The sequence below is a fragment of the Homo sapiens genome, chromosome 9 (genome assembly GCF_000001405.40).
Source record: "Homo sapiens chromosome 9, GRCh38.p14 Primary Assembly".
NCBI classification, from domain to species: Eukaryota; Metazoa; Chordata; class Mammalia; order Primates; family Hominidae; genus Homo; species Homo sapiens.
This window is the reverse complement of record NC_000009.12, coordinates 127694150-127721573: the sequence shown is the minus strand read 5'-3', so window position 1 is coordinate 127721573 and position 27424 is coordinate 127694150. Positions and strand designations below refer to the sequence as shown.

At 53.8% G+C, this 27424-nt stretch overlaps 4 protein-coding genes across 33 annotated transcripts in view, besides 7 other annotated features; 1 reads left to right on the top strand and 3 right to left on the bottom strand.

Moving 5' to 3' along the window:
- Nucleotides 1-5495, bottom strand: part of TTC16 (tetratricopeptide repeat domain 16) — a 15512-nt gene extending 10017 nt beyond the window's left edge. For 11 of the 19 annotated variants that reach the window (NM_144965.3, XM_011518283.3, XM_011518285.3 and 8 more), the window contains exons 1-6: nucleotides 5411-5495; nucleotides 4558-4730; nucleotides 4150-4240; nucleotides 3802-3945; nucleotides 1396-1496; nucleotides 1179-1308 (exon numbers count right to left, since the gene is read on the bottom strand). In NM_144965.3, the coding sequence (NP_659402.1) occupies nucleotides 1179-1308; nucleotides 1396-1496; nucleotides 3802-3945; nucleotides 4150-4240; nucleotides 4558-4730; nucleotides 5411-5428 (657 nt within the window). In that variant the 5' untranslated portion in view covers nucleotides 5429-5495. The other 8 variants (XM_011518292.3, XM_047422836.1, XM_011518290.3 and 5 more) reach the window with 5 other exon arrangements.
- Nucleotides 3189-3391: a silencer, noted in NCBI's record as "fragment chr9:130480462-130480664 (GRCh37/hg19 assembly coordinates)". NCBI's record gives its function as "represses an EF-1alpha promoter that drives an FKBP-Casp9 reporter gene in an ReSE screen in HepG2 liver carcinoma cells {active_cell/tissue: HepG2}" and the evidence as "EXISTENCE:reporter gene assay evidence [ECO:0000049][PMID:32094911]".
- Nucleotides 5437-5613: a silencer, noted in NCBI's record as "fragment chr9:130478240-130478416 (GRCh37/hg19 assembly coordinates)". NCBI's record gives its function as "represses an EF-1alpha promoter that drives an FKBP-Casp9 reporter gene in an ReSE screen in HepG2 liver carcinoma cells {active_cell/tissue: HepG2}" and the evidence as "EXISTENCE:reporter gene assay evidence [ECO:0000049][PMID:32094911]".
- CFAP157 (cilia and flagella associated protein 157) lies at nucleotides 5572-14586 on the bottom strand. Of its 6 annotated transcripts, none has more exons than NR_145961.2 (9): nucleotides 14382-14586; nucleotides 11881-12152; nucleotides 10820-10973; nucleotides 10078-10345; nucleotides 9624-9754; nucleotides 9225-9375; nucleotides 8699-8969; nucleotides 8368-8554; nucleotides 5572-7740 (listed from the first exon to the last, which is right to left on the bottom strand). NR_145961.2 is itself a non-coding variant. In NM_001012502.3 (9 exons), the coding sequence occupies exons 1-9, from the start codon at nucleotides 14540-14542 to the stop codon at nucleotides 7669-7671; spliced, it is 1563 nt and encodes a 520-aa protein (NP_001012520.2). In that variant the 5' UTR covers nucleotides 14543-14586; the 3' UTR covers nucleotides 5572-7668. The 6 variants fall into 6 exon arrangements, 4 of the variants coding, with proteins under 4 accessions (NP_001012520.2, XP_011516861.3, XP_006717127.3 ...); NM_001012502.3 differs by having other exon boundaries at nucleotides 8699-8865; XM_011518559.3 differs by lacking the exon at nucleotides 8368-8554 and having other exon boundaries at nucleotides 5572-6320; nucleotides 8699-8865.
- Nucleotides 5651-5710: an enhancer, noted in NCBI's record as "active region_29047". NCBI's record gives its function as "activates an Ori minimal core promoter by ATAC-STARR-seq in GM12878 lymphoblastoid cells {active_cell/tissue: GM12878}" and the evidence as "EXISTENCE:reporter gene assay evidence [ECO:0000049][PMID:35858748]".
- Nucleotides 5761-6140: an enhancer, noted in NCBI's record as "active region_29046". NCBI's record gives its function as "activates an Ori minimal core promoter by ATAC-STARR-seq in GM12878 lymphoblastoid cells {active_cell/tissue: GM12878}" and the evidence as "EXISTENCE:reporter gene assay evidence [ECO:0000049][PMID:35858748]".
- PTRH1 (peptidyl-tRNA hydrolase 1 homolog) lies at nucleotides 5898-27424 on the top strand. Of its 7 annotated transcripts, none has more exons than XM_047422774.1 (5): nucleotides 5898-6030; nucleotides 6380-6599; nucleotides 6872-6971; nucleotides 7150-7195; nucleotides 26433-27424. In XM_047422774.1, the coding sequence occupies exons 1-5, from the start codon at nucleotides 5935-5937 to the stop codon at nucleotides 26526-26528; spliced, it is 558 nt and encodes a 185-aa protein (XP_047278730.1). In that variant the 5' UTR covers nucleotides 5898-5934; the 3' UTR covers nucleotides 26529-27424. The 7 variants fall into 7 exon arrangements, with proteins under 7 accessions (XP_047278730.1, NP_001332906.1, XP_047278731.1 ...); NM_001345977.1 differs by lacking the exon at nucleotides 26433-27424 and adding an exon at nucleotides 7385-7911; NM_001002913.3 differs by lacking the exon at nucleotides 26433-27424 and adding an exon at nucleotides 7292-7767 and having other exon boundaries at nucleotides 5911-6030.
- Nucleotides 6211-6270: an enhancer, noted in NCBI's record as "active region_29045". NCBI's record gives its function as "activates an Ori minimal core promoter by ATAC-STARR-seq in GM12878 lymphoblastoid cells {active_cell/tissue: GM12878}" and the evidence as "EXISTENCE:reporter gene assay evidence [ECO:0000049][PMID:35858748]".
- Nucleotides 6510-7166: an enhancer, noted in NCBI's record as "H3K27ac-H3K4me1 hESC enhancer chr9:130476687-130477343 (GRCh37/hg19 assembly coordinates)". NCBI's record gives its function as "activates a minimal SCP1, AML or CMV promoter by ChIP-STARR-seq in naive H9 embryonic stem cells {active_cell/tissue: H9 hESC(naive)}" and the evidence as "EXISTENCE:reporter gene assay evidence [ECO:0000049][PMID:30033119]".
- Nucleotides 20239-20747: an enhancer, noted in NCBI's record as "OCT4 hESC enhancer chr9:130463106-130463614 (GRCh37/hg19 assembly coordinates)". NCBI's record gives its function as "activates a minimal SCP1, AML or CMV promoter by ChIP-STARR-seq in naive H9 embryonic stem cells {active_cell/tissue: H9 hESC(naive)}" and the evidence as "EXISTENCE:reporter gene assay evidence [ECO:0000049][PMID:30033119]".
- Nucleotides 25545-27424, bottom strand: part of STXBP1 (syntaxin binding protein 1) — an 84118-nt gene continuing 82238 nt past the window's right edge. The window contains exon 19 of the mRNA NM_001374314.1: nucleotides 25545-26580. Coding sequence (NP_001361243.1) covers nucleotides 26558-26580 — 23 coding nt within the window. The 3' untranslated portion in view covers nucleotides 25545-26557. The remainder of the gene's footprint in view (nucleotides 26581-27424) is intronic.

Sequence of the window (27424 nt, the reverse complement as noted above, 5' to 3'; positions counted from 1 at the left end):
TGCAATGCAGGCTGGCATTTCGGCCGCACCCAGGATGCTTGGAGAATGAGGTGAACCCGCCCCACCCCGCCCACCTGCTCCTCCCCATCCTAGCTTCCCAGCTCCCCATCCACCCAGGCCAAGCCAGAACACCAGGCACCCTTCTGGATCCTTCCTTTTCCTTCAAGCCCACCCCCAAGCCAGACTCCGGCCCTGCCTTCTGAAGGGCTGTGGGAATTGCCCCTCCTTGCCGCCCTCATGACTACCTTTCCCTCCACCTCACCCCACCCTGCAATGGTGCCCAGCCTCCTTCTCAGGCTCTGGCCTCCAGCCCTCCCCGCTGACCCACACTCCCTGCGGACACCAGAATGATCTTCCTAAAGCCCCCTGCCCTGGGGACACCTGGTGGAGGCTCCCACTGACTCCAGGGAGACTTCTCATCCCTGCCCTCCTCTCCTTGGTGCCCAGCACCCCCTCCACCTCCTTCCTTGTGACCCCAAGTTTCTATTGCTCCCAAGCTGTTCCCTGTACTGTCTGTCCCTGTGCCCAGCCCAGGTTGTGTGGGTGGTCAGGAGTAGGGATGATTCATTGAGGCAAACAGGAAAAAAGAAAGGAAGAGGGAGGAAGAGGAGAAAGAAGAAGAGGAGGAAAGGAGGAAGGGGGAAGGGAGGAAGGGAGGAGGGAGGAGGGAGGAAGGAGGAGGGAGGAAGGGGAAGGGGGAGGGAGAAAGGGGGAAGGGGAGGAGGGAGGAAGGGAGGAGGGAAGGCAGGAGGGAAGAAAGAAGGAGGGAGGAAGGGGGAAGGGCTACCTCATGTTAGGTGCCCTGGGTGCCCTGGTGTGTGGCTTCAGAGGATTGTGGCTAAAGCCCTCCTAGTGTGCTCATCTGCCCAGGGACACCTCCCCCAGGGTGTGAGCTCCATCCGGACAGGGATGACATGCTTCTCTCATCTTTTGCTTCCCATGGGGTGCAGCACAGGCCTAGCACAGAGCCAGGGCTGAGCAACAGTGGAACAAGGACCTGACATGGTAGTTGAGTGGTCCAGGCCAGTGTGGGCCTCTTCCCAGGGAGGACAGCACCCACTGCACTGTGGGATGGGGCTTCTGGGCTGGCTGACAGCCTTGCCTCTTCCTGCAATCTTGGGGCACACTGAGGACTCCCAGGTTGGGGGGCATGCCCCTGCCCGCCCTCCCCACTGTACCTTCTGGAGAAAGTTGTAGAGTCTGGCCCGGAAGATGTAGACATCGGCGTTGGTGGTGTCCTGCTTCAGCTCGTTGGTGATGAGCGTGAGGCAGGCCTGATGCTGCTTGAGGGCCAGGAGACAGGCCATGCTGAGGGCAGAGGGCACAGAGTGCTCGTTTCCCGGGTGGGGCGGCAGGAAGTGGGTGCTGGGAGAAGGGGCTGGCAGGGGCACTCACCATCGGTAACGGAAGCATGGTTTCTCAGGCTGGAGCTCAGCAGCATGTGAGAAGACATTCAGGGCATCCAGGAAGGCACACTGCTCAAAAAGGCATTGTCCCTGGGGACACAGGGGACAGTCAATTCTGCTTGCCACCCCAGCCCAGCTGCACCCCCCAGTTGGCAGCAGAAAGCCCTGAGGCAGGAGGGAGAGATACAAAGACAAGGACAGAGCCTTTTAGATCTGGCAGAGACTTGAAGAGGCAGAGACACAGACAGAGATGGAGAGAGATACAGATCTGGGGAAAGACAGCAAGAGACAGTAAGAGATGCACGCTTGGCAAGAGACAGGAATACAGAGATTCAGGAACAAAGAGAAATGTAGAAAACTCAGATAGCTGAGCCAGACATGGTTGCTCACACCTGTTATCCCATTCCAGCACTTTGGGAGGCCCAGGCAGGTGGATCACTTGAGGCCAGGAGTTTGAGGCCAGCCTGGCCAACATGGTGAAACCCCATCTCTACTAAAAATACAAAAATCAGCTAGGTGTGTTAGTGCATGCCTGTAATCCCAGCTACTCAGGAGGCTGAGGCAAGAGAATGGCTTGGACCTGGGAGGCAGAGGTTACAGTGAGCCGAGATCGTGCCACAGCCCTCCAGCCTGGGTGACAGAGTGAGACTCCATCTCAAAAACAAAACAAAACACTCAGATGGCAGAAGAGATCAGCAGAACTAACACAAACAGGCTGTAGCCTGGACCTGGGCCCTGGGTGCTGAGCCCTGTGCTAAGAACTTGAACTTGTTTTCTCACTGGCACTAGCATGCTTCTCTTATGGATAAAGGAACTGAGGCTCAGAGAGGTGAAGTGACTTGCACAAGGGTACACAGGAAGTGGCAGTGCAGGACATGGGCCCCCAACAGACAGATTCACACATGGTCTGAGGGCCCCAAATGTTTCTTTTTAAGAACAGAATTTTTTTTTTTTTTTGAGACAGCATCTTGTTCTGTCACCCAGGCTGGAGTACAGTGGCACGATCTTGGCTCACTGCAACCTCTGCTTTCTGGTTTCAAGAGGTTCTCCTGCCTCAGCCTCCCAAGTAGCTGGGATTACAGGCACGTGCCACCATGCCTAGCTAGTTTTTGTATTTTTAGTAGAGATGAGGTTTCACCATGTTGGCCAGGCTGGTCTCAAACTCCTGACCTCATGATCCGCCCAACTCGGCCTCCCAAAGTGCTGGGATTACAGGCGTGAGCCACCGTGCCCGGCCAAGAACTGAATATTTTTTGACATAAAGAAAAGACATCAAGCCCAGGCGCAGTAGCTCACACCTGTAATCCCAGCACTTTGGGAGGCCGAGGCGGGAGGATTACTTGAGGTCAGGAGTTGGAGACCGGCCTGGCCAACATGGCAAAAACCCATCTCTATTAAAAGTACAAAAATTAGCCAGGCATGTTGATGCACATCTGTAATCCTAGCTACTTGGGAGGCTGAGGCACAAGAATCATTTGAACCCGGGAGGTGGAGGTTGTGAGCTGAGATTGCGCCATTGCGCTCCAGCCTCGGTGACAGAGCAAGACTCCATCTCAGAAAAAAAAAAAAGACATCAAGGTTATCAAAATGGAAAAAAGCAACACTTCGTTGGTGTTTTATAGTTTAATATTGTTTTTCCTTTGAAATACACTTAGGGGTCACTGTGACCTTTTTAGTGCTTAGAGCCTCTGGACTCTAGATCTGTGCCGTTCTGTCCAAGACAATAGCCACTAGCTTTGTGTGGCTATACACATTTAAATTAATTAAAATAAAAATAAGAGGCCGGGCGCAGTGGCTCACATCTGTAATCCTAGCACGTTGGGAGGCCGAGGTGGGTGGATTGCCTGAGCCCAGGAGTTCAAGACCAGCCTGGGCAACAAAGTAAAACCCTGTCTCTACTAAAATACAAAAAATTAGCCAGGCGTGGTGGCGTGTGCCTGTAGTCCCAGCTACTCAGGAGGCTGAGGCAGGAGAATTGCTTGAATCCAAGAGACAGAGGTTGCAGTGAGCCGAGATCGTGCCACTGCACTGCAGCCTGGGTGACAGAGCAAGACTGTCTCAAAAATAATAATAATAATAAAATAAAATAAAAATAAGATATAAAATTCAGTTCTTTAGTCACACTTGCCACATTTCAAGGGCTCAACAGTTCCACGTGGCTGGTGGCTAGCATATTGGACACTGTCATTATGGCAGAAAGCCCAAATGGAAAATGCTGCCAAACTTGACTCAACCCTGGCAGTAAACCAGCCTTGGAGGTGAGAGGGGCAGCGGGGGGGACCCAGACACAGGGACAAGGAGGAATCTAAGGAGACAGAGCTGGGCCCAGGAGCCAGGAGAGCCCCTGAGAAGTGTGAGGTGGGTGCCCTGCATGGGCCCGGGAGGCCCCAGGCACCTGTAGGTAGAGCACAAAGGTGAGGCGCTCCAGGTGCTTGCAGTTGTCCTGCTGTAATGAGTAGGCCCTTCGCAGGTTCTGGGCGGCCGAGGAGAAGTCACAGAGCTGGAGGTAGGCCTCAGCCCGTAAGGCATAGAAGTCCACCTGAGGGTGAGGGGACCCAGGCTGCTAGATCCTCCCCACCATCTGCCCCTGGAGGGTAGGGGAAAGTCTCCACCCCCCTGAGAGTTGACATCCAATTCCCATCAGGGACTTGGTGGCCCTGAGAGGAGGGATCTGGCAGGTGCGACAGGGAGGGAGGAAGCATGTTCCAGCAACTGCCTGTGCCCACCCAGGTCTGCCTCTCACCAGCTGTGGGTCCAGGTGGAGTGCGCGGGAGAAGAGCAGCACAGCTGTCTCCCAGTCTGCCTGCTCCAAGCACTGCTGGCCTCTGGAGTAGCTGTGGGGAAAGTGGGGACAGGCAGAGGGGTGGCCCTGACTGTGGACCAGCCCAGGGCATAGGGCTGGGGTGGGGGTTGTGGGAAGCAAGGGAGCTGGGTGGAGAGGCAGGAGGAGTAGACAGAAGCCCAGGGAGGGCAGGCTGGTGTTCCTGGAGTCCAGCCAGGCCATCAGCCTCGTTCCCACTGAGGTGGAAGAGCCCCATTAGACAGTTGAGTTCACTGAGGCCTGAAGAGAGTAAGTGGCTCAAAGCTGCACAGCATGTGAATGGCTGTGTCGGGCAGGAACCTGGGACCCCAAAGCAAGGTAGTCACTCACTATTCCCTGACTTTGAGGGGCACTGTTAACCCTGTGACCTTTGGTTTTACATCACAGATGCTTTGGAACACGTGGCTGGTCCCAAAGATGTGCTGCAGGATCCCTTTGGGGGCTGGAATCACCCATGGCTTTGGGATGTCCCGTGAGGGGCCCTGGTCAACCTTCAGGGCATCCTAGAACCGAAGGACAGCAAGCTGGAGCAGGCCCCCGAGACGACCCCCACCCACTGACACACTCCCCAGCATTCTGCAGGGAGGGAGGAGAGGCGGAAATGAGGCCTGGAAGGAGGCACTCCCACTCGGGGTTCCGGTGGCGCTCCCAGCCCCATTCCCCTTAGGGACGCTCCAACCTGTCCCTCTGCAGTCCTGCCCTTCTCCCTCTCCTGTGGTCAAGGTCAGGGATCAGGGTCCTCATGCTTACAACACCGTCTGTTCTCCCCCAGGGCCTTCCCAGCTCCCACTTCCGGCTACTGACACCCCAAGCTTTGATGTCTCCAGCTCAGGCCTGGTCCCAAGTCTCAGGCCTTGGGGGTCCTACAGTCCCTTGGGTAACCTTCAGGACCCTCACTCCAGCAGGCCACACTGAGCACCTCACCTGACTTCTGCCCCAGGTTCTCCCATTTTGGTGAGGTCACCTTCCCCACCAGCTACCCAAGCCAGAGACCTCTGTCCAAGCAGCCGCCGAGCCTTACAAGGATCTTTCACATGCCTGGTTCTTGGCATGGCGGCCAGGGCCTTCCCTGAGTCGGACTGCTGCCCCTGCCTCTCCCGGCCTTCACCCTTTCCTGCGAACCCAGCCTCGGTCTCTCTGCCTGGCCCTCTGCCTTTGCGTTAGTCTTCTCCCAAGCCCGCACCTCGTCCGAATCTGTCATGAGGCCCCTTCCAGGAGGACCCCGAGGCCTCTGCCAACTACCTCGCGGCCCTGGCCCTGACGTTGCTAGGCACCATCACCAGGACGCCCACAGGCCCCACCCCTCTGGCCACGCCCCCGGGAACCAAGCTTTTTGAGCCGGAGGGAGGTAGAAAACTTTTATTAGCTGGAGAGGTTGAGGCCTACAGCGGGGAAAGGACTTGCCAGATTTTCGCCGCAAGTCAGGGCCATAGCGGGGGGCATAACAAGGCCTCCCAACCGAAGGTCAAGCAAGAGCTCCGAGCGTCCCACACAAGTCCCGAAGGGACACTGTGACGCCGCGCTACTGAAGGCGCCTGGGTTCCCGGACTCGGCCACCGCCTCGCCGCTTCCGCCCCTCAGAAGCATGGCGGCCACGTAGCCCGGCCCGGATTGGACGTTGGCGGTGGACGCCAAACAGTTGGCAACACGATTGGCTGCTGCGGGGTGATGACGTCAGGGGGCGGTGTCGGAGTGAATGGGGGCAGCATGAGGCCGGGCGGCTTTTTGGGCGCCGGACAGCGGCTGAGTAGAGCCATGAGCCGATGTGTTTTGGAGCCTCGCCCCCCGGGGAAGCGGTGGATGGTGAGTGGCGTGGGGCGGCGACGTAGGGGCTCCCGGTCCCTAGCTTCAGTTCGGCCATTATGTCCCGGGAGCCGAGTGCCCCCAAATTGCTGCTCTGTTTTCTTAACTGGTGAGTTCAGTGCTCGACGGGCTCCAAACTTCTTGAAGCTCCGTTCCTGCACTAGGGCGCCCTGCCTGCCCAGCCTTCTGGAGTTCTCAGGGGTCGGGTTTCTGGGCCCCTTCTTCGCGCCCCTTCCCCACTGCAGCGTTGCTCTGCGTTTCCGCTCCTCTGCGTTGGGGCCCACGGGACGCTGTGAGATCGGGGGTGGCGAGAGTTGTTGGGCCTCAGTTTCCCTGGTGCCGCCCGCAGGTGGCTGGCCTGGGGAATCCCGGACTGCCCGGCACGCGACACAGCGTGGGCATGGCGGTGCTGGGGCAGCTGGCGCGGCGGCTGGGTGTGGCGGAGAGTTGGACGCGCGACCGGCACTGTGCCGCCGACCTCGCCCTGGCCCCGCTGGGGGATGCCCAACTGGTCCTGCTCCGGCCACGGCGGCTTATGAACGCCAACGGGCGCAGCGTGGCCCGGGCTGGTGAGTTGAGAGCGCCAGGGGTGGGCGGGCGGGCCAAGGGGGTGGGGGTTGGGGCGCGGGGGCCAGAGGGGAGCACTGGCTGTGACAGATCCGCGGGTTCACCTCCAAGTACCTGTTGAGCTCCAGTTGCTGCATGGCTTTGGGTACTTCGGGGGGCCTCAGTTTCTTTATATGTGAAGTGGGATTAGTTGTGGTCCCTCATCATGGGAGTCGGGACAGTGCCTCTCTGGGCAGATGGGCAGTAACCAGGGCTGCCGTTTCCCTGTGCTAAGCGGAGCTGTTTGGGCTGACTGCCGAGGAAGTCTACCTGGTGCATGATGAGCTGGACAAGCCCCTGGGGAGACTGGCTCTGAAGCTGGGGGGCAGTGCCAGGTGAGGTCCTGAGATGGTCAGGGTTGGGATAGGGCTTCAGGCCTCCCAGTTGGGGTGGAGTAGGGCTGCTGACCCAGTCTCCACAGGAAATGGGCTGCTCTGACCCAGCCGGGGCAGGGAGGGGTGGAAGGACACTGCCCCAGGGAGGCACTAACTGCCCCTCCCATATCCCTTGAAGGGGCCACAATGGAGTCCGTTCCTGCATTAGCTGCCTCAACTCCAATGTGAGTCTACCCTTTTGTTGTGCAACTGGGTCGGGTGGGCCAGGGGTCCCCCAGCACCTCGCCAAAGCTTCCTGGGCCTCTCTGGCTCTCCCACAGGCAATGCCAAGGCTGCGGGTGGGTATCGGGCGCCCGGCGCACCCTGAGGCGGTTCAGGCCCATGTGCTGGGCTGCTTCTCCCCTGCTGAGCAGGAGCTGCTGCCTCTGTTGCTGGATCGAGCCACCGACCTGATCTTGGACCACATCCGTGAGCGAAGCCAGGGGCCCTCACTGGGGCCGTGACACTAGTGGCCATGGCTGCCTGCCTGACTGTAGTGCCCACCAACCCAGCCACTGCCACAGAGCTGCCACGCCAGCCTTGGTATCTACTTTTTATACAAATCTCCTCTAGACTGTTCCAGGCTGCCTGCGGATTAAAGTGGGGGTGACTGTGACTGGACCAGTCCATTTCTGGAGTAGGTTCTTCTCTCTGTGTCCTACTTGGGACGTAGGGGAACTTCAGGAAGACTAAACTTTTCAAGCCTTTTTAGAGAACCAGGGGCACGCATCTGTAAGATTAAAGATGCTGGCTTGGAGGCCGGGTGCAGTGGCTCACACCTATAATCCCAGCACTTTGGGAGGCCGAGGCTGGGGGATTGCTTGACGTCAGGAGTTCGAGACCAGCCTGGCCAACATGGTGAAACCCTGTCTCTACTAAAAATACAAAAAGTAGCCAGGCATGGTGGTGCATGCCTGTAATCCCTGCTACTTGGGAGACTGAGGCAGGAGAATCACTTGAACCTGGGAGGCGGAGGTTGCTGTGAGCTGAGATTGTGGCACTGCACTCCAGTCTGGGTGACAGAGTGAGACTCTGTCTCAAAAAAAAAAAAAAAAAAAAAAAAAAAAGAAAGATGCTGGCTTGGAAGCTGAGGCCTCTTCAGGGGGATCCCACTCTTTCCCTGCTGGTGGGGGAGGGAAGAACAGGGTCCAGCCAACCCCCCTCCCAGGGCATGTGTGGGCATGCTTTGGCCCATTGAGGCTTGGCCACTCCTTTCTTCAGCCCATTTTACAGATGGGAAGGCTCAGAGAGATCTGGTTACATCCCCAGGGCCACACAGCTGTGGCCTGGCAGAGCCTCAGTTTGTACCCAGGACTAGCTGCCACCTTGCTTTCCCTGGGGCCCCTGGCACCCTCACCTCAGGGCTGCTGTGTGCCCGGAAGGTCCCCACACGGGTGATATATGACAGCAGCCTGAGGTCCTGGGGGTTGGGTGGGATGTGGACCTGGCGAGGTACCAGGCCTAGATCCCCCGGCTGGTAGGGGGTGATGTCAGAGAGCTGCGGCAGCAGAGACCCAGTCCTGGGCAGCTGGATGCTGGGCCGGCTGTGGGGAGGGGGCCGAGGGTCACAGAGCCTTCGGCGAGCCAGGTTTCTGGCCCAGGGTGAGCCGAGCACTGTCCCCATGGCTGAATGCCTTTGCCCTGCTCTCTGTGGCTGCCTCTGAGGCCACACAGGGCCACTTGCTTACCTCTCCTTGGGTGGGCCATGGGACTGTGACTCCTGGTGGGGACACGCAGCCTTCTGAGGTCTCGTGGCCACAGTGGAGCTGAGCATGACCAGCAGTTGCTGCAGCATCTCCTTGTGCCATGGCTGGAACGTCACGTCAACGTCACTGTCCTCTTCATCGCGGTGCATCTGTTGGTGAGGGTGGGGTGGCAGCAGGCCCACAGTGGCCCCAGTACCCACCCTCGTCCAGGAAATTCCAACCTCAGTGCCCATTTCCACGAAGTTTTCCCTGTCTGTGGTGGGATACCCATTCTTCAGTCGGGAAGACTGAGGCCCAAGACCTTTCAGAGCCTCAGAGAAGGAATCCAGCTCCTTTAAGACCTTGGAGGGATCTTTGAAGGCCAGAATCAGCGAAGGACAGACTTTCCAGGAGTCTCTCAGGGAAAAGAGGGGCCTCTGATCCTGAGGCAGCCCCTTCTCTGCAAGCAGCTTCCATCTTGCGCTCACTCCCCCTCCCCTTGCGCCCTCCCTCTCTCCCTTCTGCTCACCTGCAGAATGTTCTGTAGGAAGGAGGTGGCCTGGACCAGAGCCGCCTCCAGGCTGGCCCGAACCTTCTGCTCATTAGCCAGTTCCTGCTGTAGCCGCTGCAAATCCACCTGCTGCTGCTCCAGCTGCAGGCTCAGCTGGTCTCTCTGGCTCCTGGACCCCAACTGGGATGAGTCAACAGCCTTCCCCCTTCCCCAGGACTGGGGCCACCTGGGGCCAGGGGCCCTGCCATTTCTCTCCAAGCCCACAGGGGCCCCCATCCCGCCCCAAGCCTCAGCCTGTCTGGCAGGCTCCTCTAGAGAGGGGAAGTCACTGGCCTGGGTCGTGGGATCGGAAAGAGCTGGGCCAGAGCTTGGCCCCAGCCTGCACCCGCCGCCCGCCCCTCCGTGGGCCATACGCACTTCAGTGCCTGGTTATCCACCTGCAGCTGCAGGGATCTCTGCTCCAACTGGCTCAGCAGGAGGCGCAGCTCCTCGGCCTCCTTGGTGTCCTGCTGCTGCTCCTGGCACTTCTTAGTCAGCATGAGGATGATCTGCGGGTGCGGACAGGTGGCCATGCCCTCAGCCTGCCCTGTCCCCCAGCTGCAGACACAGCCAGGCCTCCCGTGTTCCCCTATGCAGAGCGGCCAGTGAGCTCTCCAGGGCTGGACTCTGCTTCCATAAGTTATGGGGGCTTTAAATAAATACAATCCGGAGCTAGGCCCAGCACCCTGCAGCCCCCACAGGAGGCCCAGTCCTCTCTCTGCTGCCTCCCTCCCTCCTGACTTGACTGCCCCTGACTCTACCCCTGCAGGGCCCCCAGGGCGGCCTCCTGCCTTGCATGCCAAATGCCCTGTGCTGAGGCCTGCAGGCACACCTTCTGGTGGCCTCTTTTGTGCCTGGCCATGACCTTCTGGGTGTTCTCCAGCAGCTCCAGCTGTTTGCACAGATTGTTCTGTCTTCCCTTGAGCTGCTCATTCTCCTGCAGCAGCTTCATGCCTTGCTGGGAGACCCTGGCCATCTGCAGGGTAATGCCGTTGTTCTCTTTGATGGCCCGCTTGGTTGTCTCCCACATCCGGTTCGTGGTCACCTTGTGGAACTCATTGGCCACGAGGTTCACGCGCTGGATGATCTCTTTCCTCAGTCTGGCCAGAAAGGTGGGAGGGGAAGGGGTCAGACAGAGCGGGCACAAGCCCTGGGCACACCCCTTTGTGAGGTTCCCAGAGCACCTAGGGCTGTTAAACACCAGCATGCTCTCTCCCTGGGAGGGTTGGGGCTATGGGTGGGAGGCTTTCCCTGTAGATCCTCTGGACCTTTGTAATTGGTACCATTTCAATGTACTCCCACCTGTTAAGTAACATGATTTAATCCCAATAAGTGGCAAAAGGAAGCCCTGGGAGTCTCCAATGCCAGCGTGAGGACTGCAGCTGGGAGCTTATTCCTTTTCTCCCACCCCTCCATAATCACCAGCTGGGATTCCAAGGAGTAGCAGGTTGTCGGGGCGGCGGTCAGTTTCCCCATCTAACCCCCCAGTTAGAAGCTGAGGCCTGAAGACTAGGATGTTCGTAGCCCCAGGGATGAAGCCTCCAAAGGCCCCAAAGGGTGCCCCGCTTGCCCACCTGTCCTTGTCCAGCACCGACTTCTTCTCCAGGTTGTATGCATAGTCCCTGAACTCATTCTCCTGCTTCCGCACCTGCTCCTCCAGCAATGTGAACTTGTCCGTGACCTCCTCTTTCTGCAGCCGGAACTCCTCCAGGGCTGCCAGCTTCCCCCCTGGCCGCCACAGCGCACAAGGCCCAATGATGGGCTGCCTCAGAGGACAGGGCCTGGCGAGGACCTTAAAGATGCCCCTTAGGTCCCTGTCCCTTCCTGTGCGCCCTGTGTGGTCTCAGTGGGGCAGGTCTACCATCCCCCACCTACCCTGCCTGGCCCTGTCACCTTTACTGCCTTCATCTGGGTTGCCCTCCCTCCACCCCTCCATGAATCTTATGAAGTTTTGTTCAGGTTCCACCTCCTCCAAGAAGCCTTCCTTGATACTCTCATGAAAGCGACAGTAATGACAACAACTGTTTTGTTTTTTTTTTTTTTTTTGAGACAGGGTCTTCCTCTGTCACTCAGGCTGGAGTGCAGTGGCACAGTCACAGCTCACTGCAGTCTCAACCTCCCAGCCTCCCAGGCTCAAGAGATCCTCCCACCTCAGCTTCCCAAGTAGCTGGGACTACATATGTGCACCACCACACCTGGCTAATTTTTGTATTTTTTTGGTAGAGATGGAGTGTCGCTATGTTGCCTAGGCTTGTCTCAAGCTCCTGGGCTCAAGCAATCCTCCCGCCTTGGCCTCCTAAAGCACAGGGTTTTACAGGCATGGGCCACCACGCCCAGCCAGCAGCTGGACTGTATATATTCTCTGGGCTAGGTTCTAATGCCATCTGACATTTGAGCCTCACAACCCTTGCCAACTGGGGGACCTTGGTCACGACACTTCATCTTTTGAGGTGCTTCCTTGTCTACAAACTGGTTGGGGGATGTTTCCAGCTTCGTAGGATTGCTGGGACAATTAAGGAAGACAGTGTGTGCCAAGCAGCATGTGGCTATTATCCCTGTTTCCCAGGTGAGAAACAGGGTCAGTGATAGAGCTGGGATGTGTGCCTGCAGGCTCACCAGCCAGTCCCCTCCTCACCAAGGATGATGTTCTCCGTGGTGAGCTGGTCCTTGGTCTCCTGGAACTCGTGGCGCACCTGGGCCAGCTGCGCCTCGAAGGCATCCTTCTCCATCTCTTTGGCTAGCTGCAAGTTCTGGAGCTGCTCGTTGAGGTCTGTGATCTCATCCACCTGCTGGTTGAGCGTGCGCTTGAGGAAGGCCACAATCTCCTTCTTGTTATTGGCCAGCTGCTCAAACTCCTGGCGGAACATCTTCTCCTGCACAGCCAGCTCATCCCACTTCCGCTGGTACCTGGGGCAGGGGCAGAGCCGTGGTCCAGGGGTCAGGCTGGGCAAGCCAGGCCTCTGGTGCAGCTGGGCCCACTCTCCTGGACTCCCTGTCCCGTAAAGGGGCATTTGAGTTTCCTTGTGATCAGAATCCAGCCTCATCTCCCACTATGCCCCTTGGTCCGACAGTCATGACCACAGCCAATGCCTGTGCTTAGCATGTTATTTTCATTACATCACTAGAATGTAAACTCCATGAGGGCAGGGCCTTGTTATGTTTACAAGTATGTCCCCAACACCTGTGCCTGGCAGATAGCAGGTGTGCAGTGTGTTTGTTAAATCATTACAACAACCTATAAGAATGTAGGTACTATGATGATTTTATACCTATTTGACAGATGAGGAAACTGAGGCTCAGAAGGATAAAGGAACTCTGAGTTTGTAAGTGGCACAGCCAGGACTTGAACCTGAATCAGTCTGATCCCCAGAAGCAAGGCTCTTAGCCACAATGCCTGCTGCAGTCGGCCAGCTCTGCATCCCTCCATAACTCTTCCACACTTTCCAATCCCAAGTCTTTGTACCTGGCATCTCCCTTACCTTTTTCCATCCAGTAACCTTGGTGTTTTCTCCTCAGTGGACCCTTCTTGGCCCTGAGCCACATTTGTGGCCCTCTCTTTGGTGCTCCTGTAAGTTGGCCCTTGTCCCACTGAGTGGTCAAAACCTAGTAACATGTCCCTCTCCTCCACCTCTGTATTCCCAGGGCTTGGCAAATAGTAAGCACCCAATAACTCTGTTAAATACATTTGCCTTGAATATATTCTACCTGATATCTCAGCTCAAGGGAAGTTTGTGAATTTCAAGGGAAGTGTGTTAATCAGTATCACATAACCAATTTAGTGGTTTTCAATGGAGTAACTGAAGTTACTTGAAAAGTTTTTTTTAATTAAATTAAATTAATTAATTAATTTTTGAAATGGAGTCTCGATCTGTCACCCAGGTTGGAGTGCAGTGGCACGATCTCGGCTCTCTGCAACCTCTGCCTCCCAGGTTCAAGTGATTCTCCTGCCTCAGCCTCCTGAGTAGCTGGGATTACAGGCGCCCGCCACCATGCCCAGCTAATTTTTGTATTTTTAGTAGAGACTGGGCTTCAACATGTTGGTCAGGCTGGTCTCGAACTCCTGACCTCATGATCTGCCCACCTTGGCCTCCCAAAGTGCTGGGATTACAGTCCTGAGCCACTGTGCCTGGCCTGGAAAGTTGTTTTACATCATAATTTAGTTGACCAACATCTTTCAAATAGTGACTGCACACAGAGCATTTCAGGGGTGGGGGCTGAGGAAGCAGTCTTGCATAGGGGAGTCAGGAGGCCAGGGCTCCCATCTTGGTGCCTCCTCTTCCTGGGGGTGACTTCCCTTCTCTGAGCCTCAGTCTTCCCCATCTGTGCAATGGGGATGACATCAGGACCTCTCTAGTAAGACTGCTGTGAGGACTCAGTGAGCACCAGCCCATGGCCTGCCTGGCACCACGAGGGACTCAGCATTAGCTGTGGTCACCCACAGCATCAGTCACCTGGGGAAGAGCTGCCGCCTACTGGTTTGTCTTTTAAGGTCACCCTGAGACTGGGGCGGTGCCTCACAACGGGGAGGAAACTGGTTGTAACATAAGAAAATGACGGGCAGGTGAACATGGCTCTGAATGAAGAGTTAGAGGATCTCCCCCCAGCACTATGTCACACACAAAACTGGCTCTAGAATAGAATGTCACAGCCATGGAGGGGGAATCAACCTTCCCCACTTATATTTGGGGAAACTGAGGCCCAGCATGGAGAAACAACTGGGCTCATGTGCTGGGTGAGTCAGTGGGGCACAGGTGCCACTGCCAGGAAGTGGAAGTGGGGCCTGGGGGTCCACCCGCCTGCCAGAGGGCTGTTTCCACCCTTTCATAAAGCCTGTGATCCCATGGGGCAGGAGTGAGGCAGGGGGACGTGGGGATTGCCTGGGGTGGGGCCACGAGCTAGCATCGTGGGCCCAGGGTTCTAGGAGCTGGGAAGGTGGGGAAATCCATTTACCCTCAAAATCTTGAAACCTCCCAAAGGTACGTATGAGGAAATGAGGCTGGGGTCGGGATGGGGTCTGGACATCCCAGGGGAGGTCAGAACACAGGCCTAAGGCCCCATGGCCAAACCTGCATGGGGGCCACCTGGGCATGGGCTTCTGACCCAGGGCACCAGACTCCTGCCCGCCAGCCCACGCACCGGGCTAGCCGGTCCTCCAGGTCTCGGATCTGGATGTGGTAGAACTCCTTCATCTCCTTGGCCAGAGGCGGCTCCACGGCCACCACCGGCTCCTTCTTGCCCCCTTTCTTCTTGACTTCAAGCTCCTTGCCTGCCTTGCTCACACTCTTTTTGGGAGCCATGGCTGATGGCAACCAGGGCTCCAGGCCCCAGGAAGAGGCCAGGTGGTTGCTAAGGAAGCTGGTCCCGTACATAGCAACAGGCCGAGGGAGTGAGGCTGGGCTTAAAGGGACCCTGCCCTCTTCTTGCTGGGTGCCGGTACCAGGTCCCACTCCAAGGCAGATGGCATCAGTGAGGCCCCAGGCCCAGGAGTCCCAGGCCATGGCAGGCAGGATGCCTGGCTCCCAGGGCAACTTTTTGGGCTTCTGGGGACAACCCTCTTTCTCCCACGTGGAAATAAGCGCCATGGGGAAAGTTCATGTGGGTCAGGGCCCTGGAAATCGCCATCCTTTCCTTTGTGCTGATCAGAAGATGGACGACACTAACCCTGGGCACACAAAGCCTGTTCTGCAGCTGTGGCCTGGGGTGACAGTGTCCTGGCATGGGTGCATTGGGGCGTCCAGCTGATGGGGCCCTGGCTGGCAGCTGGGTGCCTCTATGAGCTCCATCCCCAGCCCCAATCTCAGCCAGCCATGCCTGTGTGCCTGCCTGTGTTCCCCACCAGCCCAGGCACTCACTCCGTGGGACAGCGGGCAGGTCCTTTCCATCCCTGTCATCCCAGGGCTTGTCACTTAGCAAGAGATGGCTATAGCACCACCCTGAAAAACTCTGACAATAGCCAAGGGGAATGGCAGTGGTACTTCAGCAAATGTGGTTTCTTGGAGCAACTAGATGTTGTGAGTTGTAGGACCCTTGGGGCAGGGGCAGGGGGATGAGGAGAGCTTGGGGTCACGGTGACGGGTCAGAAACACAGGGAGGTGGGGGCATTTTTACTGTTGGTGATGAGAAAGGTCAGAGAAGTGATTGGTTGGTCAAAAGTGGGCTCACATTTGGGCTCTGTCTGACCTCCAGTGGGTCCTTGGGCCAATGGCCTGAACCCTGCTCTGTGAAAGAGTTCACAAGACCGCATCTGTAAAGTTCCCTGTGCAGGGATACGGTCCAGGGATGCTGGGGGCACTTAGTGAGTGGTGGCCCATGAAGCTCCCGCCCACTTTGTGTGGTAGGCAGGCCTGCCTGGAATTTCCGACAGCCCTGGACCTCGCCTGTGGTGGTCTGCCCTTCCCAGGGTGCCTGTTCCCTGCAGGCAGGGCAGCCCTGGGAGGGCACAAATGTGACTGGCAGAGGGAAGAGACCCCCATGCTTCTGCACAGGCCTCAGCCTGAGTGCACTTACAAGTGAGGGAGCTCTGGCTGCCCAGGCCTTGTGGGGAGAGCGGGGAGGCCTGGCCCAGTGCCCTTCCAGCTCAATGCGATGGCCCTGCTCCTGCTGGACATTGCCCCCTCCCCCGCCTGAACAGCTGCTCCCACAGGAGCCTAGGCAGGCAAAAATTCCCACAGTGCTCCCAGTTGACCGGGGGCCTCCCCGTGCCTCCCCCATTTCTATTCTCTTTTCCCCAGGCCCATTGCAGGGGGTAGCTCTGAATTCCCAGCTTAATGGGGCCCACAGCCCCTCGGGCAGCCTGGAGCCCACAGAGGGTGTCAGCTTGGAGACCTGCCCTCCTCGCCTTCATCAGCACCAGGATGGCTTTGTCAGCACCACGTGGCAAGAGGGACGAGCTGAACTTCTAGGCAGGGAGGGGACGCTGCAGGGTGGAGGGAGAGCACTTTCTGGGGTTTGCTTGGAGACTCTCCCCAAAGCTCCCTACTTTGGACCATAGGCCGCTACTTGCCATGGGGGCACTGTCTCATTATCGCTTCTCCAGCTGCCTTCCGTAGTCTTGGAGACTGAGGCTGATGGGCCCAGAGCTGCTGGAGCTGTGAGACACAAACCCTGCAGGAGCTGGGTCTTCTGAGGGGAGTCAGGCAGTGCACAAAGCCATGCAGACTGCAGCACCGGCCAAGGACAGTGGACAGTGGCCTGGGGCACTGTCACCTCTGGGAGACTTTGGAGGGAAGAAACCTAGGCCCTGGGGAAGCAGGGAGGCCAGGCATCATTAAACATGCCCTTGGCCAGGTGCACTGGTTCATGCCTATAATCCCAGCACTTTGAGAGGCCAAGGTGGGAGGATCACTTAAGGCCAGGAGTTAAAGACCAGCCTGGGCAATATAGCAAGACCCCCATCTCTAAAAAAAAAAAAAATTAACCAGGCCTGGTGGCATCCGCCTGTAGTTCCAGCTACTCAGGAGGCTGAGGTGGGAGGACTGCTTGAGCCCAGGAATTCGAGGCTGCAGTGAGTTATGATCATGCCACAGTGTCTCTGTTCACGACGCCATCTGGTCTGAGTTAGGTACAGGCCAATAAAAGAGGCAGTTAATCTCCAACAAGGTCAGTGATGGGGAGGGGGAGTTCTGGTCTCTGGTCTTTCCTCATCATTTACAGAACGGGAACAATGGGGAAGAGGGTTAAGCTCCAGTCTAAGAGGCAGATCTGCAGAACAGGCTCCATGACCCACATCACAGTCGCATATCTCTCAAGGCTTAAAGTGGTTTTGGGGTTCCAACGGCTTTTACATTTTTTTTCTTTTTCTTTTCTTTTTTTTTTTTTTTTTTGAGACAGTGTCTCGTTCTGTCACATAGGCTGGAGTGCAGTGGCACCATCTCGGCTCGCAACCTCTGCCTCCTGGGTTCAAGCGATTCTCCTGCCTCAGCCTCCCGAGTAGCTGGGGACTACACGCACGCACCACCATGCCTGGCTAATTTTTTAATTTTTTTTGGTGGAGACGGAGTTTCATCGTGTTGCCCAGGGTGGTCTCAAACTCCTGATCTCAAGTGATCTGCCCGCCTTGGCCTCCCAGAGTGCTGGGATTACAGGCATGATCCACTGCACCCAGCCAGCTTTTAAATTTTATGTACTCTCACATGTTGGATACCCAGCTGGTATCAGAGAATTGGTGTGAAAAGTAACAAATATTTGGTGTTAGAAAAACACCATTTCTCCCCCTAACCCCCCAGCTCTGTGTCGTGGAAGTTTTACCTGGGGTGTTATGCTCTAGGCAGGTGTGGTCAAAAAGACAGGGGCTCTCCTCCCAGCTCCTAGTCTGGCTCTTCATTTCGCCCTGGGAGGGGAAGGCTGCTGGCCTTTCTCTACACAGCACCCCACCCCTCCCTGCCCATCCCTGTGTTGCAGAATCTCTACTGCAAGCAGGTACAGCAGAGAGGACTTTCCCACAAGGCCCACCTGGAGCGTGGAAGCTCTTCTCCAGGTGTGGCAGGTTGAGAATGCTTGGGCCCTGCCGGCCCAACTCCAGCTAGCTCATAGGATGGAGGCTTTTTCACACCAGGCGGGGCGAGACCAGCTGAGAATACCAGTGGCTGCCACCCCCTGGTACCCACTTATAGAGCAGGGTGTGACTTAGGAAAAGTAGGTCCCTCCCCCAGTTTGGGTGCCGTGGCACGTGGGTTTTTGCTTTGGGGAAAGAGGCAGGGGAAGAGGACAAACACCTCTGTCACTCTGCCGAGGGGACTCACTTTTGTCACAGCTTCAAAAAATCCATGTCTAAAGGCTGTCAGAGACAAAATTACAACCAATCAGTTTAAATAGCGTAATTGACTCTTTCTCTTTCTCTCTCTTTCCCTCTCTCTCTTTCTCTTTCTCTTTCTCTCTCTCTCTCTTTCTTTCTCTTGCTCTGTCGCCCAGGCTGGAGTGCAGTGGTATGATCTCAGCTCACTGCAACCTCCACCTCCTGGATTCAAGTGATTCTCCTGCCTCAGCTTCCCAGGTAGATGGGATTACAGGTGTGCACCACCATACCCAGCTAATTTTTGTATTTTTAGTAGAGATGAGGTTTCACCATGTTGGCTGGTCTCGAACTCCTGACCTCAGGTGATCTGCCCGCCTCAGCCTCCCAAAGTGCTAGGATTACAGGTGTGAGCCATAGCACCTAGCCTTAATTGGCTTTTATTTGTTATTCTAGAATTGGGCAATAGAATGAGTGTCCCGATTTGCTGAACAGAGGAGGCTGGTTTTACAGATGGAGAAGGCTGACAAAGCAGAAACAGAACAAAAAGTGGATTGGTTATTTCAAAGTGACTTTCAGCTGTGTGCAGTGGCTCACACCTGTAATCCCAGCACTTTGGGAGGCCGAGGCGGGTGGATCACCTGAGGTCAGGAGCTCGAGACCAGCCTGGCCAACATGGCAAAACCCTGTCTCTACTAAAAATACAAAAAAAAAAAAAATTAGCCAGGCGTGGTGGCACATGCCTGTAGTCCCAGCTACTTGGGAGGCTGAGGTAGGAGAATCGTTTGAATCCAGGAGGCAGAGGTTGCAGTGAGCTGAGATCATGCCATTGCACTCCAGCCTGGACGACAGAGCAAGACACTCTCTCAAGAAAAAAAAAAAAGAAAAATAATGACAAACGTTGGCAAAGCATGTCACAACGTCACAGGCTCATGTCAAAAGCCCAGCACCTCACACCTGATGAGTTCGCAACAAATGGTTGTGGTGATGATAATCAGGATGATGATCTGTCAATTAAGATGACACAAACATGCTGGTTTTTATTTGTTTATTTGTTTTTTGAGACAGGGTCTCACTCTGTCTCCCAGGCCGGAGTGCAGTGGCACAACCACAGTTCACTGCAGCCTTGATCTCCTGGGCTCAAGTGATTCCCCACTCCCACCTCCACCCAGTAGGAGGGACTACAGGTGCATGCACCACCTCCGGCTTTTTTTTTTTTTTTTTGGAGACGGAATCTTGCTCTGTCACCCAGGCTGGAGTGCAGTGGTGCGATCTTGGCTCACTGCAAGCTCCACCTCCTGGGTTCACGCCATTCTCCTGCCTCAGCCTCCCGAGTAGCTGGGACTACAGGCGCCCATCACCATGCCTGCCTAATTTTTTGTATTTTTAGTAGAGACAGGGTTTCACCGTGTTAGCCAGGATGGTCTTGATCTCCTGACCTCGTGATCCGCCCACCTCGGTCTCCCAAAGTGCTGGGATTACAGGCATGAGCCACCACGCCCAGCCTACCTCTGGCTAATTTTTAAACAATTTGTTTTTTAGAGACGGGGGTCTCCCTGTTTTGCCCAGGCTCGTCTCGAACTTCTGGGCTCCAGTGATCCTCCTGCTTCGGCCTCTCAAGGTGTCGAGATTACAGGCATGAGTCACCATGCCCAACCAAACATACCAATTTTTTTTTTTTTTGAGACAGAGTTTCACTCTTGTTGCCCAGGCTGGAGTGCAATGGTGCGATCTTGGCTCACTGCAACCTCTGCCTACTAGGTTCAAGCAATTCTCCTGCTGCAGCCTCCCGAGTAGCTGGGATTATAGGCATCTGCCACCACGCCCGACTAATTTTGTGTTTTCAGTGGAGACACCGGTATTTCTCCATGTTGGTCAGGCTGGTCTTAACTCCTGACCTTAAGTGATCCGCCCACCTTGGCCTCCCAAAGTGCTGGGATTACAGGCGTGAGCCACCGCTCCCGGCCCAAACATGCCAATTTTTAAAGATTTCAAGTAGATTGGGCACTTTACCAGGGAAATGACTGGAACGTTCAGGTTCATCAGCTCTGAGATGAAGAGCACTTTCTTTAGCAGGTCAGGTACTCCTGATCCTTGGGCTGGAGCCTGTCTGGCAAACAGCTGAGTCTTGATTAAGTGCCTTCATTCATTCATTCATTCATTCATTCCCTTTCTTTATTCAACTAATAGATCCCTGCTCCTATGCCCTTATTAAAGTGAGTGGCCCCATGTGTGTTGGGAAAGACATCAATCAGATGTGAACACAAGTAGCAGAATTACACCTGTGATTTGGTACTATGATACGTTAACTTGAAAAAAATCACATGATTTATAAATTTGGGAAAGGAGAGGAGGCTCCTTTAGAGGAGTTTACAGCCTGCAAGGTGGTCATCCCACAGGCTAGGAAGCGTGCCTCCAGCCAAGACCAGAGACAGGTAGGAGAAGGGGTTGGGGTAGGAGCTTTATGCTGAACGGGTTGGCTAAACATACATATTCAGCAGATTGTAGGAGGGGCTATGCATATTCATGAAGGTGGTTTGACACATGCATATTGAACAAACATGCATGTACCATTCGACCCATGTTTACTTTGGGGTGGAGACTTGGCATTTAAATATATTACAATTAGGCCCTATTCGTTGAAAGGGCTTTTCAGAAGATGAGGGCATGCAAGTGCTCTGTAAATTGGCCAGAGCCAGTTCATAGTCTTCTTATCTGGAGAAAGTTGCTGAAGTCAGCCTCTTGTCCAATGAAAGCTGTAGTTATGGCTGGTGGAACAGGTGGTCAGTCCCACAGCCTCTGGGAGCTGGGTGAATTGTAATTGTTTTAATATTGCTTATCTCCAGGCCATCTAGAACTTGTTTAGCTGCTAGAGAAAAAGAAAACTTGTGGCAAGTGTGGAGTGTGTGACTTAATCCTCACCTGCCATGGCCCGAGGTCCTGTTTATAATTTGATACTGTATTGCCATAGAAGAGTCTGCTCTGCCAGTCTTATGTTCTCTATTTTAACATGAATGCTGGTCGGTTGTTGTTTCTAAACTGTAAAACGGAGAGGCTTCATGAGGCATGTCTGACCCCCCCATCTCATCATGGCTGGGAACTGTTTTTAAGGTTTTTCTGGGGTTCCTTAGCCAAGGGGGACTCCATTCAGTCACTGAAGGGCTGATTTCATTTTTAGTTGACAGAGGAAAGGTACAGAGAGCTCCAAAAGCACAAGGAGGAGCCAGGAACAGCCCCCATCATGGAGGCGCTAGGCTTGGAGAAGGAGATGCTGCCCATAAGGGGTGTGGGTGGGAGGTGGAAAGACAGCACAGGGCCTAAAGCAAGAAAAACAACTCAGATTTGATGAAGGCCAGAGAAGCTGCAGCTGAGAGAAGGAGGGAGCGGGCAAGAGGGGGTCAGAGAGACAGCCTGACACATAAGCTTCCTAGAGCAGAGAAGGAGCAGTGCAGTATTTGATCAGCAGCAGAAGCGCAGGTTCCAAGTTGCTTTTTTATTTGACTTTATTATTTTTTTGAGACAGTCTTGCTCTGCTGCCCAGGCTGGAGTGCACCACAACCGGCTAGTTTTTGTATTTTTAGTAGAGACGGGGTTTCACCGTGTTGGCCAGGCTGGTCTCGAACTCCTGGCCTCAAGTGATCTGCCCGCCTCAGTCTCGGGAGGCATTTATATTATTCCCATTATATTGATGGGAAAATTGAGGTTAAGTAACTTCTCCAGGTCACACAGGGAAGTCAGGAGTCAAATCCCAGGCTCAACTCCATAGCCCATCTGGTGACCATTATGCAATAGACACTGAGAATTAAAAGTGCCTGTTCTCCTAGGAAGAGACTGTTCTGGTAACAGCTAACTCCCAGAACCAGTTTTTTTGTTTTTTTTTTCCCCTGATAGCCCATTTTATTTTGCTCAGCACAGTCTTTCATCCTACTTTAGGGTATCACATGGAAAAAATATGGAACGCTTCACCAATCTGCGTGTCACTGGTTCCAATTTTAGTATTCGTACTGCCTAACCCAGCACCCAGATAGAATGACCAACGCTTCACAACCCCGCCTCGGAAAGCCAGCCAATCAGCAACCGTCTTACTCCAGGAACCCCCGCCTCCAGGGCCAGAGGCGACCAATCCCTAAACAGCCCGGCTAGTAGACGCTTACTAGCCCCGGAAGCCCGGCCTCCCCAAGCCCAGTCCCGAGGCCGCGTCTGATCCGCCGCGTGACCGGTGTTGGGTGTCGGCCTTTTCCTTGCTCACAGTGTTTCGGCCTCGAGTGTCGGTTCCGCGTTGGTTGAGGGGAGTGCAGGCGGCCGGGCAGAAGGCGCCCTGGCGGCAACTCCGGGTGGAGTCCCACCCTTGCCAGAGCGCCAGGGGTTCCTTGGGCATTTTGGCTTCTGTGAAACACCAAGAAGTTGTCCTTGGTCGGCCGGGCGCGGTGGTTCACACCTATAATGCCAGCACTTTGGGAGGCGGAAGCTGGCGGATGACTTGAGGTCATGAGTTCGAGACCAGTCTGGCAAACATGGTGAAACCCTATCTCTACTAAAAATACAAAAATTAGCCTGTAGTCCCAGCTACTCCAGAGGCTAAGGAGGGAGGATCGCTTGAACCCGGGAGGGAGAGGTTGCAGTGAACCGAGATCACACCGCTGCACTCCAGCCTGGGCGAGACTCCGTCTCAAAAAAAAAAAAAAAAAAAAAGTTGGTCTTGTGGGAAGCCGCTGCTGGGACAGGGACAGCTCCAGGGGCGGCTAATTCAGGAACTTTAACCCATCCCTTTATTTTTGTTGTTGTTTTTCTTAGAAACAGACAAGGTGGTGGATTCCCCATACCATTACACCCTAGATCCAGGGATTCTATATCCACAGGGAGGGGCACACGTGCTTCAGAGAGAATGGGTAGGAATTTGCCCCAACCATTTTTATTTTTTGAGACAGGGTCTCACTCTGTTGCCCAGGCTGGAGTGCTGTGGTGCAATCATGGCTCGCTGCAGCCTTGACCTCCTGGGCTCAAGCAAGCCTCCCAAGTAGTTGGGGTTACAGGCATGTGCCACCACGACTGGCTAATTTTTCTTTTTCTTTTTTGTAGAGATGAGGTCTCACTGTGTTGCCCAGGCTGGCCATGAACTCCTGGGCTCAAGTGATCTGCTCTCCTTGGCCTCTCAAAGTGTGGGATTACAGGCATGAGCCATTGTGCCCGGCCTGTTTTTCGTTTTTCTAGTAGCCATTCTAATAGGTATGAGGTAGTGGTTTTGACTTGCATTTCAGTTGAGCATCTTTTTGTGTGCTTATTTGCCATTTGTATAATTTATTTAGAGAAATGGCTATTCAAATCCTTTGCCCATTTTTTCTGGTTTTGATTTCATTTATTTTTAAATAGATTCGGGGTCTTGCTGTGTTGCTTTGGCTGGTCTCAAACTCCTGGACTCAAACCATCCTGCCACCTGAGCCTCCCAAGTAGTTAGGACTACAGGCACACGCCACCAAACTTCTGCCCATTTTTAAGTCAGATTGTTTTTTGTTGTTGAGTATAGGAGTTCTTGCATCTGGATATTAGCCCCTTATCAGATATGTGATTTGCAAACAGTTTTTTCCCACTCTGAGACTGCCTTTTTCACCCTGCAGATTGTGTCCTTGGATTGTAGCTTTAAATTTTGAAGTAGAACAGTTTACCTATTTTTTCTTGTTTTGTCTGTGCTTTTGGTGTCATCCGAGCAAGCAATTTTAATGATAAACAGAGCAAGCACTATCTGAGCACTTCCCCTTCATAAAGAGGCAGCGCTCCCTCCAGGAGGAGACTCAAATTCTGCTCAGCACCATTCAGCCCAGTTGTAAGAAGGAGCGCATGTGTTGACAGTGTCCTTCCACATAGTCTGCCACGGACACTTCCCACCAGCCTTGTCATCTGGTGCTGGAGGTCAACAGCTGCTGTTTTTTGTTTTTGTTTGAGACAGAGTCTTGCTCTGTCACCCAGGCTGGAGTGCAGTGGTGTGATCTTGGCTTACCACAACCTCTGCTTCCCGGGTTCAAGTGATTCTCCTGCCTCAGTCTCCCGAGTAGCTGGGATTACAGGCACAAGCCACCATGCTCAGCTAATTTATGTTTTTTTTTGTAGAGATGGGGTTTTACCATGTTGGCCAGGCTGGTCTTGAACTCCTGACCTCAGGCGATCCGCCCACCTCGGCCTCCCAAAGTGCTGGGATTACAGGTGTGAGCCACTACGCCCGGCCAGCAGCAGCTGGTTTTACAAACTTCTTGCCAACAGCTGGTGCCACTTTTTACTCCAAGGAGCGTAACTCAGATCACTGTCTCTGTAGTTTGGGTTTCTTCCCAACCTTGAGCAATGGAATTCATCAGTTTCATTCTAGAATGTCTTCTTTAGTGCTTGGTCTGGAAAACTGGGCTTGGCTTATGGACTAGGTTACTGTGCTTCAGTTGAAATTGATTGAAATATTTGATTGAAGTAACTGAAATAACTAAAATATTTCAGTGTGTTCATCCACTCTGTGACAATGTTCTTTTATAACAGGTAATGCACAGGGGACCAGGCAGGTACAACTCACTGGCCCAGGAAAATCCAATTTTTATTGTACCACTTTATTTCCACTCTTTTTCTTCTTTTTTGCTGCTTGTGTAAAATCATCATCCTTGAAGAGTCATTTGTTCCAGCCTATACAGACTCACACTCTGTATTCACACTGGAATCCCACTGTCTGCTTATACCGAGAATGTTTTGTTTTTTGAGATGGAGTCTTGCTCTGTTCCCCAGGCTGGAGTGCAATGAATGGCACAATCTCAGTTCACTGCAACCTCTGCCTCCCGGGGTCAAGTGATTCTCCTGCCTCAGCCTCCCAAGTAACTGGGATTACAGGTGTCCACCACCACGCCCAGCTAATTTTTTTTTATTTTTAGTAGAGACGGGGTTTCACCATGTTGGCCAGGCTGGTTTCGAACTCCTGACCTCAAGTGATCCACCCTCCTTGGCCTCCCAAAGTGCTGGGATTAACAGATGTGAGCCTCCGCACCCGGATGATAATGTTTTTCTGATAGTGGAGGGCTCTGGAGTCAGACGGCTGTGTTTAAATCTAGTCTCTGCCACGTACTAACTGGAGGGCCCTAGCCAAGTTGCTTTGTCTCTATGTGGTTTTGCTTCCCCATGTGTAAATAGGGCTAATAATGGCACCTAACTCCTAGAGTTGTTGAGAAGATTCAGCAAGTCACATACAAAGCACTCAGTGCCTGGCACATAATAAGTGCCATATATTATTTATTTACAGACAGGGTCTTGCTGTTGTCCCAGCTGGAGTGCAGTGGCACAATCACAGCTCACTGCAGCCTCGAACTCCTGGGCTCAGGTGATCCTCCCACCCCAGCCTCCTGAGTAGCTGGGACTACAGGCACATGCCACCATGCCAGGGTAATTTTTTAATTTTTTGTAGAGACGGTTTCACCATGTTGTCCAAGCTGGTCTCAAACTCCTGGGCTCAAGTGATCCACCCTCCTCAGCCTCCCAAAGTGTTGGGATTACAGGCATGAGCCACTGTGCCTGGCCTTAATATATAACCACAATCAGAATGATTGCATTAATACATTGTTGGTTTTTTTTTATTCAATGAAGTACTTTTAAGCCCGTGGCTCATTTGGAATTGAAGATATAAGACGACAATAATAACCATCCCTTCCCCATGGCCAGTCACTATCCTGACTTTGGTATTTGTCATTCCCATGCATGTTTTCACACATTTACAACATATGTATCCAAATAAGCAATATGTGGTGCTTTTTATGAGGTTTTGAAGTGCCGTGGTTTGCCACGGTTACTACGGGACTGAATGAAGGAGGATGAACGCAGAAATGAAAACTTAAAAGAAACTGTTTTAAAAGAAGGGGTCGGGGGAAGAAGAAGAGGACTCCCTGCTTCTACTGAGCAAAAGCAGCAGCTCTGAGCTTCTACAGCCCTTTGTATTTACTGGGTAGAAAGAGCAGGGAAGAGGAGGTAATGATTGGTCAGCTGCTTAATTGATCACAGGTTCACATTATTGCTAACAGGCTTCAGATGTACCTAATCACAAGAAAACTGCGCTTAGGGAGTGGCTGCCCTCCGCATTCCTTCTGGGCGGCAGATGCAGTTTGTCAGTTTGCCAACATTCTGCATTTATGAGAACAGTTTGCTGTTTACCCATGTAGCCTCCAGGATACTGAGTTGATCACGACCCTCACTCTTTCAGCCTGCAACATTGAAGCTTTATATAAATGCACTATCCTGTCTGTGTCCTCCCATAATGTGCTCTTTTCACTCATTGTTAAGTGTCTGAGATCTATTCATGTTGACATATGCAACTGTGTGTCATGCATTTTTAACTGCTTTAAACTCACCATTGGGTGAATACACAGTTTATCTGTTCTCTTCTTGATGAGCATTGGGCTTTTTTAAATTTATGAGACTATTTATTCTTTTCTCCCCAGGCTTGGCTTGGACTCATCGTCAACAGCAGCAGCATCATCATCATCACCATCATCATCATCATCATCATCATCATCATCATCATCATCAATGGCTGAGCCCTCACTGTGCTTCCTGGGAGCCGGGCTCAGCTTCCCGCCTCCACGGGCACTACAGGAGGGAACAAAGTCACCTGTCAGGATCATGTGGAAAGAGGCCAAGGGTGGATTTAACCCAGGTATGCTGATGCTGAAGTCTGTGCTCCTAACCACTCTGGCCTTCTGCTTCCTGTACCCAGAAGAGATGGAACCCACAGGCCACTGCTAAAAGTCTCCAACGGTGTTAAATATCCTTGGAGGAGCAGGGAATTCCAAACAACCCAAAGCATGCAACACCAACTGAGCCATTCTAAAGCCAGGTCTGTGAGCTGCAGCCAGGCACTGTGCCTTTCCAGAGGCCCTGGTCCAGGCTGCGGGACTCAGCAGAGACTGCTGGGGGCCTGTGCACCCACCTCGGAATGACACCAAGCATTTGTTCCTGGAATTCCCTGCTCCTCCAAGGATATTTAACACCGTTGGAGACTTTTTAGCAGTGGCCTGTGGGTTCCATCTCTTCTGGGTAACACAGGAGGACCAGGGCTTTGGCCAAGAACCTAAAGAGCCACACTCATTTGCTCTTGGGTGGTAGTGAAGGGGTAGAATGGAGAGAGGTGACAGGAAGCTGGGACAGAAGACTTCAGAAACAACCAGGGAGATACTAGAAAGCCACTCCCAGGAGATTGGAGGGACAGATGATCCCGGGAAGCAGCAAACAGTGCTGCTTTTGCTTTAATGTAAATTTGGCTTAGAACAATTTAGAATTTTAAAAATTCCAGTCTTGGATCTCGTTCCAAAGCCTTCTGTTTGCTGGTGAACTAATGATAAAGATAATGGGGGCCAGACACAGTAGCTCACGCCTGTAATCCCAGCAGTTTGGGAGGCTGAGGCAGGCCAATCGCTTGAGCCTAGGAGTTCAA